Source organism: Homo sapiens, chromosome 8 (assembly GCF_000001405.40).
Source record: "Homo sapiens chromosome 8, GRCh38.p14 Primary Assembly".
In the NCBI taxonomy this organism is placed as follows: Eukaryota; Metazoa; Chordata; class Mammalia; order Primates; family Hominidae; genus Homo; species Homo sapiens.
In genome coordinates this window covers 120,473,221-120,489,260 of record NC_000008.11, presented here as the reverse complement: position 1 = coordinate 120,489,260, position 16,040 = coordinate 120,473,221, and the positions used below count along the sequence as shown (strand labels likewise).

The window sequence follows — 16,040 nt, the reverse complement described above, 5'->3', positions numbered from 1 at the left end:
TCGAGACCATCCTGTCCAACATGGTGAAACCCTGTCTCTACTAAAAATACACAAATTAGCTGGGCATGGTGGTGCACACCTGTAGTCCCAGCTACTTGGGAGGCTGAGGCAGGAGAATTGCTCGAACCTGGGAGGCAGAGGTTGCAGTGAGCGAAGATTGCACCACTGCACTCTAGCCTGGTGACAGAGGAAGACTCTGTCTCAAAAAAAAAAAAAGAAGTCAGTCTGCCCTAACACCATGATATTGTAAGGAAGCCCAAGCTAGCTGTGAGGAAAGCGCCTGTGAAGAGAAAATCAGACCTCATCTGTTCCAGTCATCCTAGCCCAGGCACCAAACATGGGTGTGAAGAAACTATCTTAGACATCAAGTCCTGTGGAATCTTCAAATGACTGGAGCCACAGTTGTATGTGACTGTAATCATATGGAGGACCTCAAAATAGAAACATCCAACTGAGCTCATTCAACCCACAGGACCACGAGAGATAATAATAAACTCCTATTTTTAAGCCAAATTTGGGGTAGTTTGTCATGCAGCAATCAATAACCTAAATAATAAAGCCTGGGAAGAAGAGGGAAAGATGGGCAATAAAATAGAACATGTGGCTTCAGACGATATAAATGAAAATGGGAAATATAGCAAAATATATGTATTTAAAGTGGAAAATACTAAAAATTTCATTTTTAGAATTGAAGGCTGATCTACTAAACTTTACTAGGTATAATGTAAAAGCAATTTGCTCTTTGCACATTAAATTGTAAAAATATGTCATAATATGTTTTAAATAAAAGGTAAATTAATGAAAGAGAATGGAGTTTGGCGAAAATAAATTCATTAAATGTTTAGTATTTCTTCTACTTAAAGCCACATATGCTAACCACACACACAAACAATGTAAACATGTTTTTCTACCTGAAGTTAACACTTACTCAATTTGGCTTCTTCTGTCTTTGTTTTCATCTTTCCATGAATTAAATTGAGTGCAAATGAGCCATTGATCTGGTTGGCTGAGTGAATCAATGTGGCTTTACATCTTCTATTGCCATTACCTTGTAACAAGAGATAATAGCTAGAACACTCTCCTTTCACTTCAACATCTGGAACTAAACAAAAACAATTATCTTGTTAAGTATGTGAAAATTCAGCACACAACACAACAGAACCATACATTTGATCCATAGGATATAATAAAATTTTTTGTTATTTTAAAACAAGCTGTTAATACATTCAGGGCTAGTAGTTGTTCATTTAATTGAGAAAGCTGTTAAAGCAAAAAATCATAACAATTACAAAGCATAAATCTTTTATTTTAAATTAAAAGTATGTGTACTCATTCTTTAACTTTTGATATGGCTTACCATATCTACAGTATATTTCTTAAATAACCACATCAATAATGTTTACAGCTTCCATTTCTTTAAAGAGGAATAAACTGATTCCTACAAACACCAACTTAATTGGTGGGAGCAGAAGGATACAGCTATACTTGGGAGCTGGGAAGCTTTTCGCTTCTTGCCCTTTTTGCTTCTTGCAGTGGGCATCCATAATGTATTTTACAGAGGGAATGGAGAGCATTCATTAATCTGGCATGCCAGTTATGTGAAGGTCAGTTAAGACAGCGTCTAGTATATTTTAAAAGCAAATCAAGTGAGGGTTATAGTGAAGGTTGAAGAAAAACTGTGAAGCCTTTGAGATTAAAAATAGAAGTAGAATCTTTCTTTGTTGAAGATGGTGAGTTGGACATAAACATTTATATTCACTATCTCCTGAAATTCCACTAAATGAGAATAAAGAAATCTTAAAAATAGCATAAATCTACAAGAACTAATATCTGGAAGAGACAACGACAACTAAAATTTGAAAGCAGAAAAGCATATGAACAATTGGTAACAAACTTCAATCTCTCCACTGCTAAGGAGCTGAGAAAAACAGCAGAGAAAGCCCCAAAGCAACACAATTTATACACGCGTCCTCAAGAGGCTCTGGAATGGTGACCCCAGATGGCACTGGAAGCAAAATGAAGCTGGAATAGGAACAGAGTTTGAAAGTCAACTTGAGAAACAGGCCTTCTGATCCCTTATTCTATTCAGGCAAATGACTGTCAGAAGATTAGAGGCTTATTCTCTGGAGAGGGTAAAACAAAGTGTCTTTGGCTTGAGATATATAAGGCAGAGTTAAGGGTTGATTGATTATCAGGGAATCAAAGTGAATGCTTACCACTTTAAAAAGTTATCTATGTCTCTATTTCCCTTAAGTTTATTTTAGGGGCTATGAGGATGGCAGGGTGAGAAAGTCTGTGGACCCACTCCCCAGCAATACAAGCACAACCGGTGAAATGATCCTAAGGGTATATACCAAATTAAGAAACATTTATTCAGGAAAATATACTAAGATTAGGATTGGGAAGAAGCACGTTGGACAGATTGGAGCTTCTATCCATTGAGTTGAGAATGGGTTGGGAAGAAGCAGGTTGTGGCTTAGTTTTTAAGAGTCCGAAGCACTTCAGCCGCAGCCTGCTTTTCCCCACCCATTCCCAACACAGATGGACAGAAACTCCAATCCAAGCGGCTGTGGCCAAAAAGATGGGTCTCCCTCCTCCCTCGGCTTCCAATAAAGGGTTACAGCATCTCATGGGAAGGAGCAGGCTGTCAGCAATTTCTCATCCCCTCATTCTGAGTTGAAAAGACTAAATTCCTGACGCATATGATGAGAATTCAGGGACTTCCTTTCTCCACCTAGCCCCTACTCATAAGGCAGAGGTTCTACCCCAGGATAGGAAAGCTGAGAAAATAGGCACCCAAATGTCTTCACCTCAGCGCATTCACAGGGCAGTTTCTACACTGGGAGAGGTATATAAAGAAGACCAGAAGCTACATGCCGGCCCAGCTACCGAAGTAGTGGCTCAGAGATTTTGCCCAGGGGAAGAGACCTTAAAACAGAAGGCCCTAAGCACTACCCAAAGAAACTGACTTTATCTGACTCAGATTGCGGGTAAGTTGGAGCCTAAAGGTGGTCTCAAAAACTATGGAGACTTGGTAATAAGCAAATAAAAGGAGGCTGGTAGTTCACTTAATTAAGAGAAACAAGCAAAAGATCTAGTTCATTAGAGAGAACCTGGGAATGAGACAGCTAAGAAGTGTCATCTTGGTGTCAGAATTCAAATCGAAGAATGGCCACAAAAATGAATCAAATTTAAATGGATGTGGAACAATTTAAGCCCCAGTGCATTGTCAAAAACAATAAAGCAATTAGTGAAGATGGCAATTAGTGAGGTATAAAGTAGCTACATGTGATAGCAAATGAGGCAGACAAAGAAGGTATCAGGGAAAGGCAAAGTGAGTCAGGTTGAGACCACTGGATTCCCAGGGTGAATGTGGCCACACTGAAGGCCGCACCCTCTGAAGAGTGACACCGAAGTCAAACAGACTTCATTAAAATTGCCTAGCCAACTCATACAACAAATAAATACGCAAACAAGAAAACAAACCTAATAAGGGGGGAGATAAATTATTAACCAATAGCTACAATATATTACCTAAATTGTCATCTTTATCAAGAAATTATGAGACATACAAAGAAACAGGAATGTGTAATACCTACAGAAGGGGAAAAGCAAGTGACAGAAAATACTTGTGAGAGGTCCCAGAAGTTAAATATAACAAAGACTTCAAAGCAAACATTATAAATACGTTTAAAGAACTAAAGGAAACCATGCTTAAAGAAGAAATGAAAGGTATGATGACAATGTCTCATCAAATAGAGAACATAGATGAAAAGATATAAAATAAAAACCCAATGGAAACACTGGAGTGGAAAAGTACAATAAACTTAAAAGGAGTAAAATCATTAGTCCTTTTAGACACTAATAATTCAAAGAAATTTGGGGAATTAACAAATATGTGGAAATTAAACAACACACCAACAAATAACCAATGGGTCAAATATGAAATCACAATGGAAATTTAAAAATACTCTAAGATAAATGAAAGATATAAAATTTATCAAATATAGCTGAAGTAGTATTAAAGATCTCAATCAATAAGCTAACCTTCTACCTTAAGACACTGAAAAAAAGACGAAGCCCAGCAATTCCACTCCTAGATTTATACTGAAAATAATTTTAAGCCTGTACCTTTATATTCAGAGCAGCATTATTCATAATAGCCTAAAAGTGTCAACATCCCAAATGTCCATCAACTGATGTGTGGATAAATAAAATGTGGTATATCTAAGTGATGAAATATTATTCAGCAATAAAGAGGATGATGTCCTGGCATATGCTACAGCATGTACAGCATGGATGAACTTTGAAAACATTATACTAAGTCCAAGAAGCCAGTCACTAAAAACTAGATACTATATGATTACACTTCCATGACATGTCCAGAACAGTCAAATCTATACAGACCAAAATAGATTGCTTAGGGGTAGGGAGGAGGAATGGGTGGTGGAAATGCGCAATGATTGCTAACACGTATGGGGTTTCTTTCCGGGGAGATTAAGATGCCCTAAACTTGACTGTGGTGATAGTTGCACAATTCTGTGATTATATTTTAAAAGCCACTGAATTGTAAACTTTAAAAGGGTAAAATGTATGGTATGCATTATATCTCAATAAAACTGTATTTTTAAAAATTATCTTAGGAATGTAAAGTTCTGCTCACAAAAAGAAAGTTCTTGACAGTACTTCAGTTCTTTATAGACAACCACACAGCAAATAAAAGATTCTTTTATGTAGTATATAGAATGTAATATATACACACATATATATATATACATCCCAAAATACTAAGAAAGTACTGTAATTTTATTACAATAGCTACAGTTTATTTCATAGATAGGAAGATACCGTGGGTTATAGTCTATTCCCAAAAACAATGATGAAGTAACAAAAACAATTTTTACAATTAGATAGCTAGAGTGACATTAATTCTGCTCATAAACTGCAGTTTTAGAACATGAATTTAAATAAAGGTTATTAGAAAAGAAAAACACTTGTTGTTACCAGTTTTATTAGAAATTAAGGTTTGCCAAAAGATACAGTGACCTTAATTCATTTACCATTTTAGCTGCTTGCTGATTCAACTTATATATATATCTTCAATCTATGACATTCTTTCCACATTTATTTTAAATCTCATCACCTTTATTTGCATTTTAATCACTGAAGCTTGTAATTACAACAATCTTATTTTCCTCAAAAGAAAAATATTTACTGTAAACAACTCTCTTAGCCATAATGACTCTGCAGTCATTTAAAAAATGTTGCTCCAGATTTGGCAGGTGTTAATTGAAGACTTATTAAATAACTTTTATGTAAATGCCACAGAGAGTAACAGATTTACAATTAGCGTAGTTATTCCAGCCTCATCACTCTTCCTAAAGTAATAAGGGAAAATGATTACTAAAAAAAAGTCTGTCTATTTTCAACTGTTATGTTTACTTACATTATTATTTGATAAGGTGTTGGCTTGTATGCCCCTCTCCACCAAAAGCATACGTATATTTTGGATATACTATACAGATAAAATGGGAGAAGCAGAAACTACCAAGTGTCTATTAGTTGCATCAAAGTTTACAGATAACACATAAACCACAATAAAGTCTTATGTCTTTATTAGTATTAGCAAAAAAAATTCTTATATAACAAAAATCAAGTTATATTCTTTGTCAATAAGTTTCTTAGTTGTTCTTAAAACCTTATAATACTCATTTTTAACAGCTAATATGTAAACAAAATTATAATAATCTAAAGGATAAATAATATTCCACATGATGGAAGGAAAAAATATATCCCAGGACTACGGGGGAAACAGGATATTCTGGGTAAGTGAATATTCCGACTTACTGATAGTTATTATATATGTTCATAAAGAAATGGCAAAATAATATAACCAATTATTTTAATAATCATTCCAAAAATGAAATAATAAAGCAAAATCTAGTTTCCAATGTAGGCATCTTAGGAGGCTATACTCTTTTCAACAATGAGATCACTGTTTAATTCTAGACTCAACTTTTGAAACAGCCCTTAGTGCCAGCTGGGGAGGCAGAAGAAAAAAAAAATAAATCTAATTACTTTATATTCATAAATCATCTTCAAAAATGTATTTCCTAGCCTGATACCCCACCCTATTCATCAGACTAAGCTTTGAACAATTTAGGGTAAAACTAGGCTGCCACTGAAATTGTTCAAGAAAATGACTGTGGCTCAATTTTAAAAAGAATCTAAAATAGTTAAAAAAAAAAAAAAAGATAGTACTGTCCGGGTGCGGTGGCTCATTCCTGTAATCCCAGCACTTTGGGAGGCTGAGGTGGATGGATCACGAGGTCAGGAGATCAAGACCATCCTGGCTAACACAGTGAAACCCCATCTCTACTAAAAATACAAAAAATTAGCTGGGCGTGGTGGCATGTGCCTGTAATCTTAGCTACTCGGGAGGCTGAGGCAGGAGAATCGCTTGAACCCAGGAGGTGGAGGTTGCAGTGAGCCGAGATCACGCTACTGCATTCCAGCCTGGGCAACAAAGCAAGACTCCGTCTCAAAAAAAGAAAGAAAGAAAAAAAAAAAGAAGAATAGTACTGTTGAATAGGTGTATAACTCACTACTGTGAAAATTATAAAAACACAGGATTTATAAATTCCACCATGACTATTTTAAACAATTAAGTAATATTAGGATCATAAACTATATACATTTCCTCTCAATTACTATATAATAAAATACACAATTTGAAAGCTACAATGAATAGAGAAGCCATTCAGAAGATATTTCCAGATCTTACTCATTATGAACAGCAATGATTTCTTTATTGTTCAACAGACACAGAAGCATAGAAGATTGGACCGAATAACAAAAAGCTACTGCAGAATTTAGAAAGTGTGTACCTTCATTACCAATTTGATTCAAACAAGTTTGAGATACAATAAGGAAGTAGTAGTACTCTCATTTTCTAGATAAGGAATTAAAGGCCTAAAGTAGTGATTCTCAATTTTTTTTCTGCCTCAAAGCATCTAAAGGATTCTTCAGTGACAGTGATTTCACCTCGTGTTGGGGAAAGCACCACCTAGGGCAGAGGTTCTCAATCTTGGATATACATTTGAACCACCAAGGATGCTCTAACAAACCACTGACACCCTGGGTCCACCCCAGAGATTTGGGTTGAATTATTTTCAGGTGGAGCTCAGCTTGACATTTTTAAATAACTGTCAAGGTGATTCTAATTTGCAGCTGGTGTTAAGAATCATTGAACTAGAGAGAGAAACAAAACTCTGCATTTAGATTGAAGGACCTAAATGATTCTTAGAAAAAAAGTGATTCTTTAAATAACTGTCAAAATGATTCTAATTTGTAGCTGGTGTTAAGAATCATTAAACTAGAGAGATAAACAAAACTCTGCATTTAGGTTGAAGGACCCGAATGATTCTTACAAAAAGTGATCCTTATAAAAAACAAAAACCTTTAATGATGTAAAATTACATATGTATTTACGTATGTACATATATATTAAAGTCTAACTTTAACAAATTTTGGGAAATGTAAACAACTGTGCATCCATCACTATGATCCAGTTTTGAGAAACTTCCATCACACCTTTGCAGTCAATCTCCCTTCTACCCATGGCCTCAGACAACCATTGATCTGCTTTCTGTCTCCTTCTGCCTTTTGAAGAAATTTCATATATATGATCTGACAATAAATAATCTAACCTTGTCTGACTTTATTTATAAACTTAGCACAATGTTTTTCAGGTACACTCCAAACTTTTCATGCCTTCTCATTCCTCAGTATTCCATTATATGCAAAAAAAAATGATCTCTTCACCAGATGATAAATATTTGCATAGTTTCCAAGTGTTGGCTATTACAAATAATGCTTTTATAAACACCTGCATATAAGCCTTTGTGTAAACATACGTTCTCATTTCTCCTGGGTAAATATCTAGGAATGAAAGGGCTGGGTTGTACAGCCAAGTGCAAGTTTAACTGTCAAACTGTTTTCCTTACTAGCTGTGCTATTGAACATCCCCAGCAACAATGTGTGAGATGTGAAGTTTCTCCACATCCTCATCAACATTTGATAGTCACTGTTTTCAATTACAGCCATTCTAGTGAGTGTGTTGTAGAATCACATTTTGGTTGTAATTTGCATCTCCCAAGAGACTAATGATGTTGGGCATCTTTTCGTGGAGTTTACTAGTTATTCGTGTATCTTCTTTGGTGAAATGTCTATTCAAGCATTTCACTCACTTATTAACTGGGTTGTTTTATTATATATAAAATTGGGAGAATTTTTCAAATATTATCTGTCCATTGTCAGATATACGACTGGAACTATTTTCTTTAAGTAGATTGTTTTTAAATGTTCTTAATAGTGTTTATCAAAAAGTAAGCATTTTGAACCTTGGTGAATTCTACTTTATAAATTTGTTTTCTTTTTCTAATTTATAGATTTGTTATCTATGTTATCTTACAAAAGCTTTATAATTTTAGCTCTTGAATTAAGTTATATGATCCATTTTGAGCTAATTTTCATTTAAAGTAAAAGTCTAAATACATATATAAATATATATACATAATTTTTACATATGCATATCCAATTCTTCCAGCAGTGTGTTGAAACTGTCCTTTCGCCATTGGCATCTGACTCTATTCTGTTCCATGGATCTATGTATTCTTAGCCCAATACCACAATGTCTTGATAACTGTGGCTTTATAATAAGTCATGAGATCAGGTAGCATAAGTTCTCAAATGTTGTTTTTCCTTTTCAAAATTGTTCTGGCCATTCTAGTTGCTTTGCTACTCCATATAAATTTAGGATCAGTTTGTCAATTTCTTTTCTTTTTTTTTTGAGACGGAGTCTCGCTCTGTCGCCCAGGCTGGAGTGCAGTGGCGTGATCTCGGCTCACTGCAACCTCTGCCTCCCAGGTTCAAACGATTCTCCTGCCTCAGTCTCCAGAGCAGCTGGGATTACAGGTGCCTGCCACCACGCCTGGCTAATTTTTGTTTTTGTTTTTTTTTTTTTGTAGAGACGGGGTTTCGCCATGTTGGCCAGGCTGGTCTTGAACTCCTGCAGTTTGTCAATTTCTATAGAAAGTCCTGCTGGAATTTTGATAGGCATTGGGTTCAATTTGGAGTTCTATCTTAATAATACTGAGTTTTCCAAACTCTAAATATGGTACATCTCTCCATTTACTTATATCTTCTTTAGTTACTCTCAGTAATGTTTTGGGGTTTTCAGTGTACTTCTTTTACTTCTTTTGGTAGACATTCTTCAATATTTTATTCATTAATTTCTGGTCTATTTCTTTCCTTCTACTCATTTAGATTAGGTCTTCTTGCTTACTGAGGTTGATGGTTAAATTATTGATTCTTGATCTTCCTTCCATTCTAAGATAAGCATTTCAGATATTCTTAGTACTGCTTTAGCTGTGTTCCATTCATTTTATGTTTTGTTTTTATTTTCATTCAGTTAAAACTATTTTGTAATTTCCTTTTTGATTTTTTCTTTGACCTATAGGTTATTTGGAAGTGTGTTAATTCCCAAATAGTTGAGAGATCTCTCAGGATTCTTTCTGTTGTCAATTTCTAACTTAATTCCATTGAAATTGGAGGATATCGTGTGTATTATTTCTATCCTTTTAAATTTACTGAGATTCATTTAGTGGACTAGCATGTATACGGGTCTGTCCTGAAGCATGTTTCATATGTGCTTGAAAAGAATGAGTATAAAGTTAAGTGTACAATAAAGGTTGGTAGTCAAGTTACTTGAAAGGTTTACCACTGTATTCCTAGCACCACAGTAATACCTTGCACACAGCAGGCACAGAAAAATATTTGTTGACTAAAAGAATACTTTGTCTCTGTCAGTAAAATTTCTTTCAAAATCCTATCAGTCCTTTATTTCTCAAGATGAAATTTATAGATCACTTGTACTGTGCTATTTTAACCTTATCTGTTTCAGCCCACTATTTTTTATTTGAACTTTGAGTGTAGATTCAGGAGGTACACATGCAGGTTTCTCATGAGGGTATATTGTGTGATGTTGAGGTTTGTGCTTCTATTAATCCCATCACCCAGACAGTGAACATAGTACACAACTTCTCTCCTTTGGAGTCCCCAGTGCCTACTGTTCCCATCTTTATATTTGTGTATATCCAGGGTTTAGCCTCCATTTGTGAGAAAATGTGATATTGATTTTCTGTTTCTGTGATAATTCGTTTAGGATAATGGCCTCCAGTTGCATCCACGGTGTTGCAAAGGACATGGTTCCACAGTATTCCATGGTGTACATGTACCACATTTCTTATGGCTGCACAGTATTTCATGGTGTATATGTACCATCTTTTTATGGCTGCATAGTAGTCCATGGTGTTTATGGATCATTTTTTATGGCTGCATAGTATTCCGTAGCATACGTGTACGATCTTTTTCTATGGCTGCATAGTATTCCTGGTATATATGTACCACATTTTCTTTATCCAATCCACTGTTGATGTCAGCCCACTATTTTGAAATACTTTCACCATGGTGATTTGAATGTGGAAAAGGCACATGCTTCATCATTTCAAAACATTTTATCAGTCATTATCTAGTCCCTCTAAAAATATTTTTATTAGAAGAATTGTTAGTCAACAAAACAATCAGATATGATTTTCTCCAAGAGTGCCTTTAACATGTTTCTTTTCAAAAGAATTCCAATTTTAAAAATATAAGGCAATATTGGAGTTTAGAGTTCTAAAATTATCAAACATCTAGAATTATAAAATTGTCAGATACTATTATTCTGCTACATGAGGATAAATTATTTCCACAAATATCAAGACATAAAATTGAAAAGACCAAGTTTTTTTTTTTCTTTATTATACTTTAAGTTCTGGGATACATGTACAGAATGTGCAGGTTTGTTACATAGGCATACATGTGCCATGGTGCTTTGCTGCACCCATCAAACCATCTACATTAGGTATTTCTCCTAATGCTATCCCTCCCCTAGCCCCCCATACCCTGACAGGCCCCAGTATGTGATGTTCCCCTCCCTGTGTCCATGTGTTCTCATTGTTCAACTCCCACTTATGAGTGAGAACATGTGGTGTTTGATTTTCTGTTCTTGTGTTAGTTTGATGAGAATGACGGTTTCCAGCTTCATCCATGTCCGTGCAAAGGACATGAACTCATTCTTTTTTATGGCTGCGTAGTATTCCATGGTGTATATGTGCCACATTTTCTTTATCCAGTCTATCATTGATGGGCATTTGAGTTGGTTCCAAGTCTTTGCTATTGTGAATAGTGCAGCAATAAGCATATATGTGCATGTGTCTGTATAGTAGAATGATTTATAATCCTTTGGGTATATGCCCAGTAATGGGATGGCTGGGTCAAATGGTATTTCTGGTTCTAGATCATTGAAGAATTGCCACACTGTCTTCCACAATGGTTGAACTAATTGACACTCCCACCAACAGTGTATAAGTGTTCCTATTTCTCCAGATCCTCTCCAGCATCTGTTGTTTCCTGACTTTTTAATGATCGCCATTCTAACTGGCATGGGATGGTATCTCATTGTGGTTTTGATTTGCATTTCTCTAATGACCAGTGAGGATAAGCTTTTTTTCATATGTTTATTGGCTGCATAAATGTCTTTTTCTGAGAAGTGTCTGTTCATATCCTTAGCCCAGTTTTTGATGGGGTTGTTTGCTTTTTTCTTGTAAATTTGTTTAAGTTCCTTGTAGATTCTGGATATTAGCCCTTTGTCAGATGGATAGATTGCAAAAATTTTCTCCCATTCTGTAAGTTGCCTGTTCACTCTGATGATAGTTTCTTTTGCTGTGAAGAAGCTCTTTAGTTTAATTAGATCCTATTAGTCAATTTTGGCTTTTGCTGCCATTGCTTTTAGTGTTTTACTCATGAAGTCTTTGCCCATGCCTATGTCCTGAATGGTACTGCCTAAGTTTTCTTCTAGGGTTTTTATGGTTTTAGGTCTTATGTGTAAGTCTTTAATCCATCTTGAGTTAATTTTTGTATAAGGTGTAAGGAAGGGGTCCAGTTTCAGCTTTCTGCATATGGCTAGCCAGTTTTCCCAACACCATTTATTAAATATGGAATCCTTTCCCCATTGTTTGTTTCTGTCAGGTTTGTCAAAGTTCAGATGGTTGTAGATGTGTGGCGTTATTTCTGAGGCTTCTGTTCTGTTCCATTGGTCTATATAACTGTTTTGGTACCAGCACCATGCTGTTTTGGTTACTGTAGTCTTGTAGCATAGTTTGAAGTCATGTAGCGTGATGCCTCCAGCTCTGTTCTTTTTGCTTAGGATTGTCTTGGCTATATGAGCTCTTTTTTGGTTCCATATGAAATTTAAAGTAGTTTTTCTAATTCTGTGAAGAAAGTCAGTGGTAGCTTGATGGGGATAGCATTCCATCTATAAATTACTTTGGGCAGTAAGGCCATTTTCACGGTATTGATTCTACCTATCTATGAGCATGAAATAGTCTTCCATTTGTTTGTGTCCTCTCTTATTTCCTTGAGCAGTGCTTTGTAGTTCTCCTTGAAAAGGTCCTTCACAGCCCTTGTAAGTTGTATTCCTAGGTATTTTATTCTCTTTGTAGCAATTGTGAATTGGAGTTCATTCATGATTTGGCTCTTTGTCTATTATTGGTGTATAGGAATGTTTGTAATTTTTGCACATTGATTTTGTATCTTGAGACTTTGCTGAAGTTGTTTATCAGCTTAAGGAGATTTTGGGCTGAGACGATGGAGTTTTCTAAATATACAATCATGTTGCCTGCAAACAGAGACAATTTGACTTCCTCTCTTCCTATCTGAATACCCTTTATTTCTTTCTCTTGCCTGATTACCTTGGCCAGAACTTCCAATACTATGTTGAATAGGAGTGGTGAGAGACGGCATCTTTGTCTTGTGCCAGTTTTCAAAGGGAATCCTTCCAGGTTTTGCCCATTCAGTATGATATTGGCTACGGGTTTGTCATAAATAGCTCTTATTATTTTGAGATATGTTCCATCAATACCTAGCTTATTGAGAGTTTTAGCATGAAGGGGTGTTTAAGTTTATCGAAGGCCGAAAAGACCAAGTTCTAAAAATTATTTTCAACAAAAGTATACATGATGTGACAAAAGAAATCATGCATGGCCTTTAGATACATTCAAAATTAGGTAGAAATTCTAATTCCACCCTGTGACATTAGATAAGGTTCTTGGTTTCCTTGATTACCTTATTTTTCTCAATTGTAATATAAAGGTTTTTTTAAAAACCTACTTCTCAGTATTGTTTCGAGAATTAAAGATAATGAATCCACAGCATATGGCACATAGTAGGCTTTCAATAATGGGAGATACAATTTTTTATTACTTATCTATGATTTGTTTAGGTTGCAGATGATCATTCAATTTTTTGACAATTTCATAAAATATCTCTGTAAACACGGCAAGCCAGCCATTTTTCACTATTCATCTGTCTTCTCAATAAAAGTTTTACATATAGGCATTTTTCTTTTGAAATGTAATAAGGTTGACTTAATTTCATTTTTTTGTACAGTGCTTTTGCATTTTTCCTGTATCATCATAATTTCTGGGTATTTTATTGAATACCAATTTTAAAAGGCATTCATTTACTATTATAATTAAACCATACTTCAAATTGGGCATTGTTTGTCCATTTAAGTTCAAACTATGTGAAATTGCTGATAAGTAACAATTTTTGATATATAAAAAAACATCAGATGGTTCAAATTAATACACATATTTTTTATTTCATCAAAGGATGAAACCTAGGAAACTGATAAAAATTGGAGCACAAATTTTGGTTCACACTACATGGATGGAGTCCATTCAAAGTCTTTCTTTATCTGTCTGGAGAACAGTTATTACTAACTAGAAATATATACTTCACTCATTATTTAACAAATATTTTTGAGTAACTGTTAAGCATCAGGTAGACACACATTTAGTATAATAGACAGCATGAGTACTAAGGTAAAAAGATAAAGCTAGGAAGATGAATAAGAGGTCAGGAGAAGAGTCTGTTTGTAACTTTAGATGGGCTGGCAAAAAAGGTCCTAAAAGAGAAAAATGATTTTGGAGTAAAGACCTGAAAAAATTAGGAACTAGTCATATGGCTATCTGGGGGAAAAACTAAACCTGTGACCTCTACCATAAAGTAAGCTCCATTAGGGAAAGGATTTTGTTCTATTTACTGCTTGTCCAGCATGTAAAACAGTGCCTAATATATTGTAAGTGCTCGATAAAAATATCTGTTGAAAAAGCAGATACTTAATGCATATACAAATATGTTTAAATGCTAAATACACACAAACTTGTTTTTACCATTAATACCATAACTATTGCATACCTTGCTTTTTTCATTATGTCTTGGGGATTTTTTCTAGTCAGTGACTACTAAATACAATGTTATAATAACTTCTGAATATCTATTTTCTGTGGTACAGTGTAAATTCCATTAGAGGAAGACTCAAGTCTATCTCATGGATCAGTAATCCCAAGATAACAGTACCATGCTTGATACACAATATCTGCTGTATATTCAAATAAATGAATAAAAGGTATAACTGACTAGATGAATGAATGAATAATAAAGTCACAAAGGAATAAAATCAGGGAATACTTTTAGGAAACAGTACAAAGTTAGAATGAAGATTCTGGAATATATGTGGCAACAATAGAGGACAGTTGGGCATAATTCAGTAGATTGTGGAGAAACAGAGTCATGGTGTAGGAGAATGATCTGAGAGTCTGATAGTGAGAAAGGGTATTGTTAGTGATGCTAGGAAGGGATAGGAAGTTTTCCAGGTGTGAGTTATTGAAGCTTTTACATTAACTAAAACTCAGCTTCTCTATTTTTACAAAAAAAAGTTCCATCAATGGGTAAGAATTTATCCTACAGAGAGGATTATGGGTAGAATAGAACTGAATAATCAACTGTCCAGTTTGATTTTATTTCTACTTCTAAGATTTTTTTTTTAAATACTGTTAAGTGTCAGCTTAATCAGCCCTTAATGATCCAGCCTAATCAGTAATCAACAATCTGGTTTCAAAGATTATGTGATCTGTGTCTTATTATTATTCACAAGTTACCAATATTAATGCTCAGATTTCAAGAGGAGATAATTTTAAAAAATCAAATCAAGCCACATGATATATTCTTAAAATTACAATGGAAATCAGGCCAAAAAAACCCCCACGCCTAAGTTAAGAGTAAATTACCTTAAAATCAGAAGTTCCAACATAATGGTAGTTTGAAGTTGGAGAAAGTTATGAGAGGAAAAATAAATAATGAATGGGTTGCCAGAATACACTCAAGTTTATTAAGGAGATGTTAATATTATGATTAACTGATTGCATATGTCTACATATGTCTAATCAATTTTAGACATATGTAAAGCTGAGAAATGGATCAGTATTATCCCATGACTATATGTAGAATAAGCGAAATTGACTATATTGCCACTCAGAAAATCTATTTCTGATTTTGTTTTAGCAAGTGCCAAAATTACCAAATATATATTTGTTCCCTGTGAGATGAGAAGGGTTAAAAGCTGCACTTATTCATGTATTAGTATGGTGCAGTAAGTTACAGTAATAATGTCTCCTCCTATAGGAAACTTTTCTTGAGCTCTTAAGGCTATGTTAGGTCATACACTCTGGAAGTACCTTCCATTTTGCCTTCACAGTGTTGGCCAAACAGACTTATAATTATTGTCCTAGGTACATTCCTCACTTGAGTATAAATTTCACAGCGAAAAAGACAATGAATCTACTTCCTTAAGTGTAAAAACCCAGTTTGATGCTCCTTTATTTCCCACACTTTGCACCACGCTCTGTATAAATGGTATTTTAATGCTGATGTTAACGATAACTTGCTAGGGTCTTCCAAAGACCATTTACCATATCATTTCCTAACTTTTCTCCACTTTCACCTTACATGCAGGTACAATTTGCCTCTACATCCATGGGTTTCACACTGTGGATTCAACCAACCACGAATTGAAAATATTCCAAAAAAAATTT

At 34.8% G+C, this 16,040-nt stretch overlaps 1 protein-coding gene across 4 annotated transcripts in view; it reads right to left on the bottom strand.

The window, feature by feature from the left end:
- MTBP (MDM2 binding protein) overlaps window positions 1-16,040 on the bottom strand; it is a 78,218-nt gene that overhangs the window by 34,376 nt on the left and 27,802 nt on the right. For all 4 annotated transcript variants that reach the window (XR_928318.3, NM_022045.5, XM_011516962.3 and 1 more), the window contains exon 12: window positions 929-1,102. Coding sequence is in view for 3 of the 4 variants with exons in the window: in NM_022045.5 (NP_071328.2) it covers window positions 929-1,102 (174 nt within the window). In the remaining variant the exon portion in view is untranslated. The remainder of the gene's footprint in view (window positions 1-928; window positions 1,103-16,040) is intronic.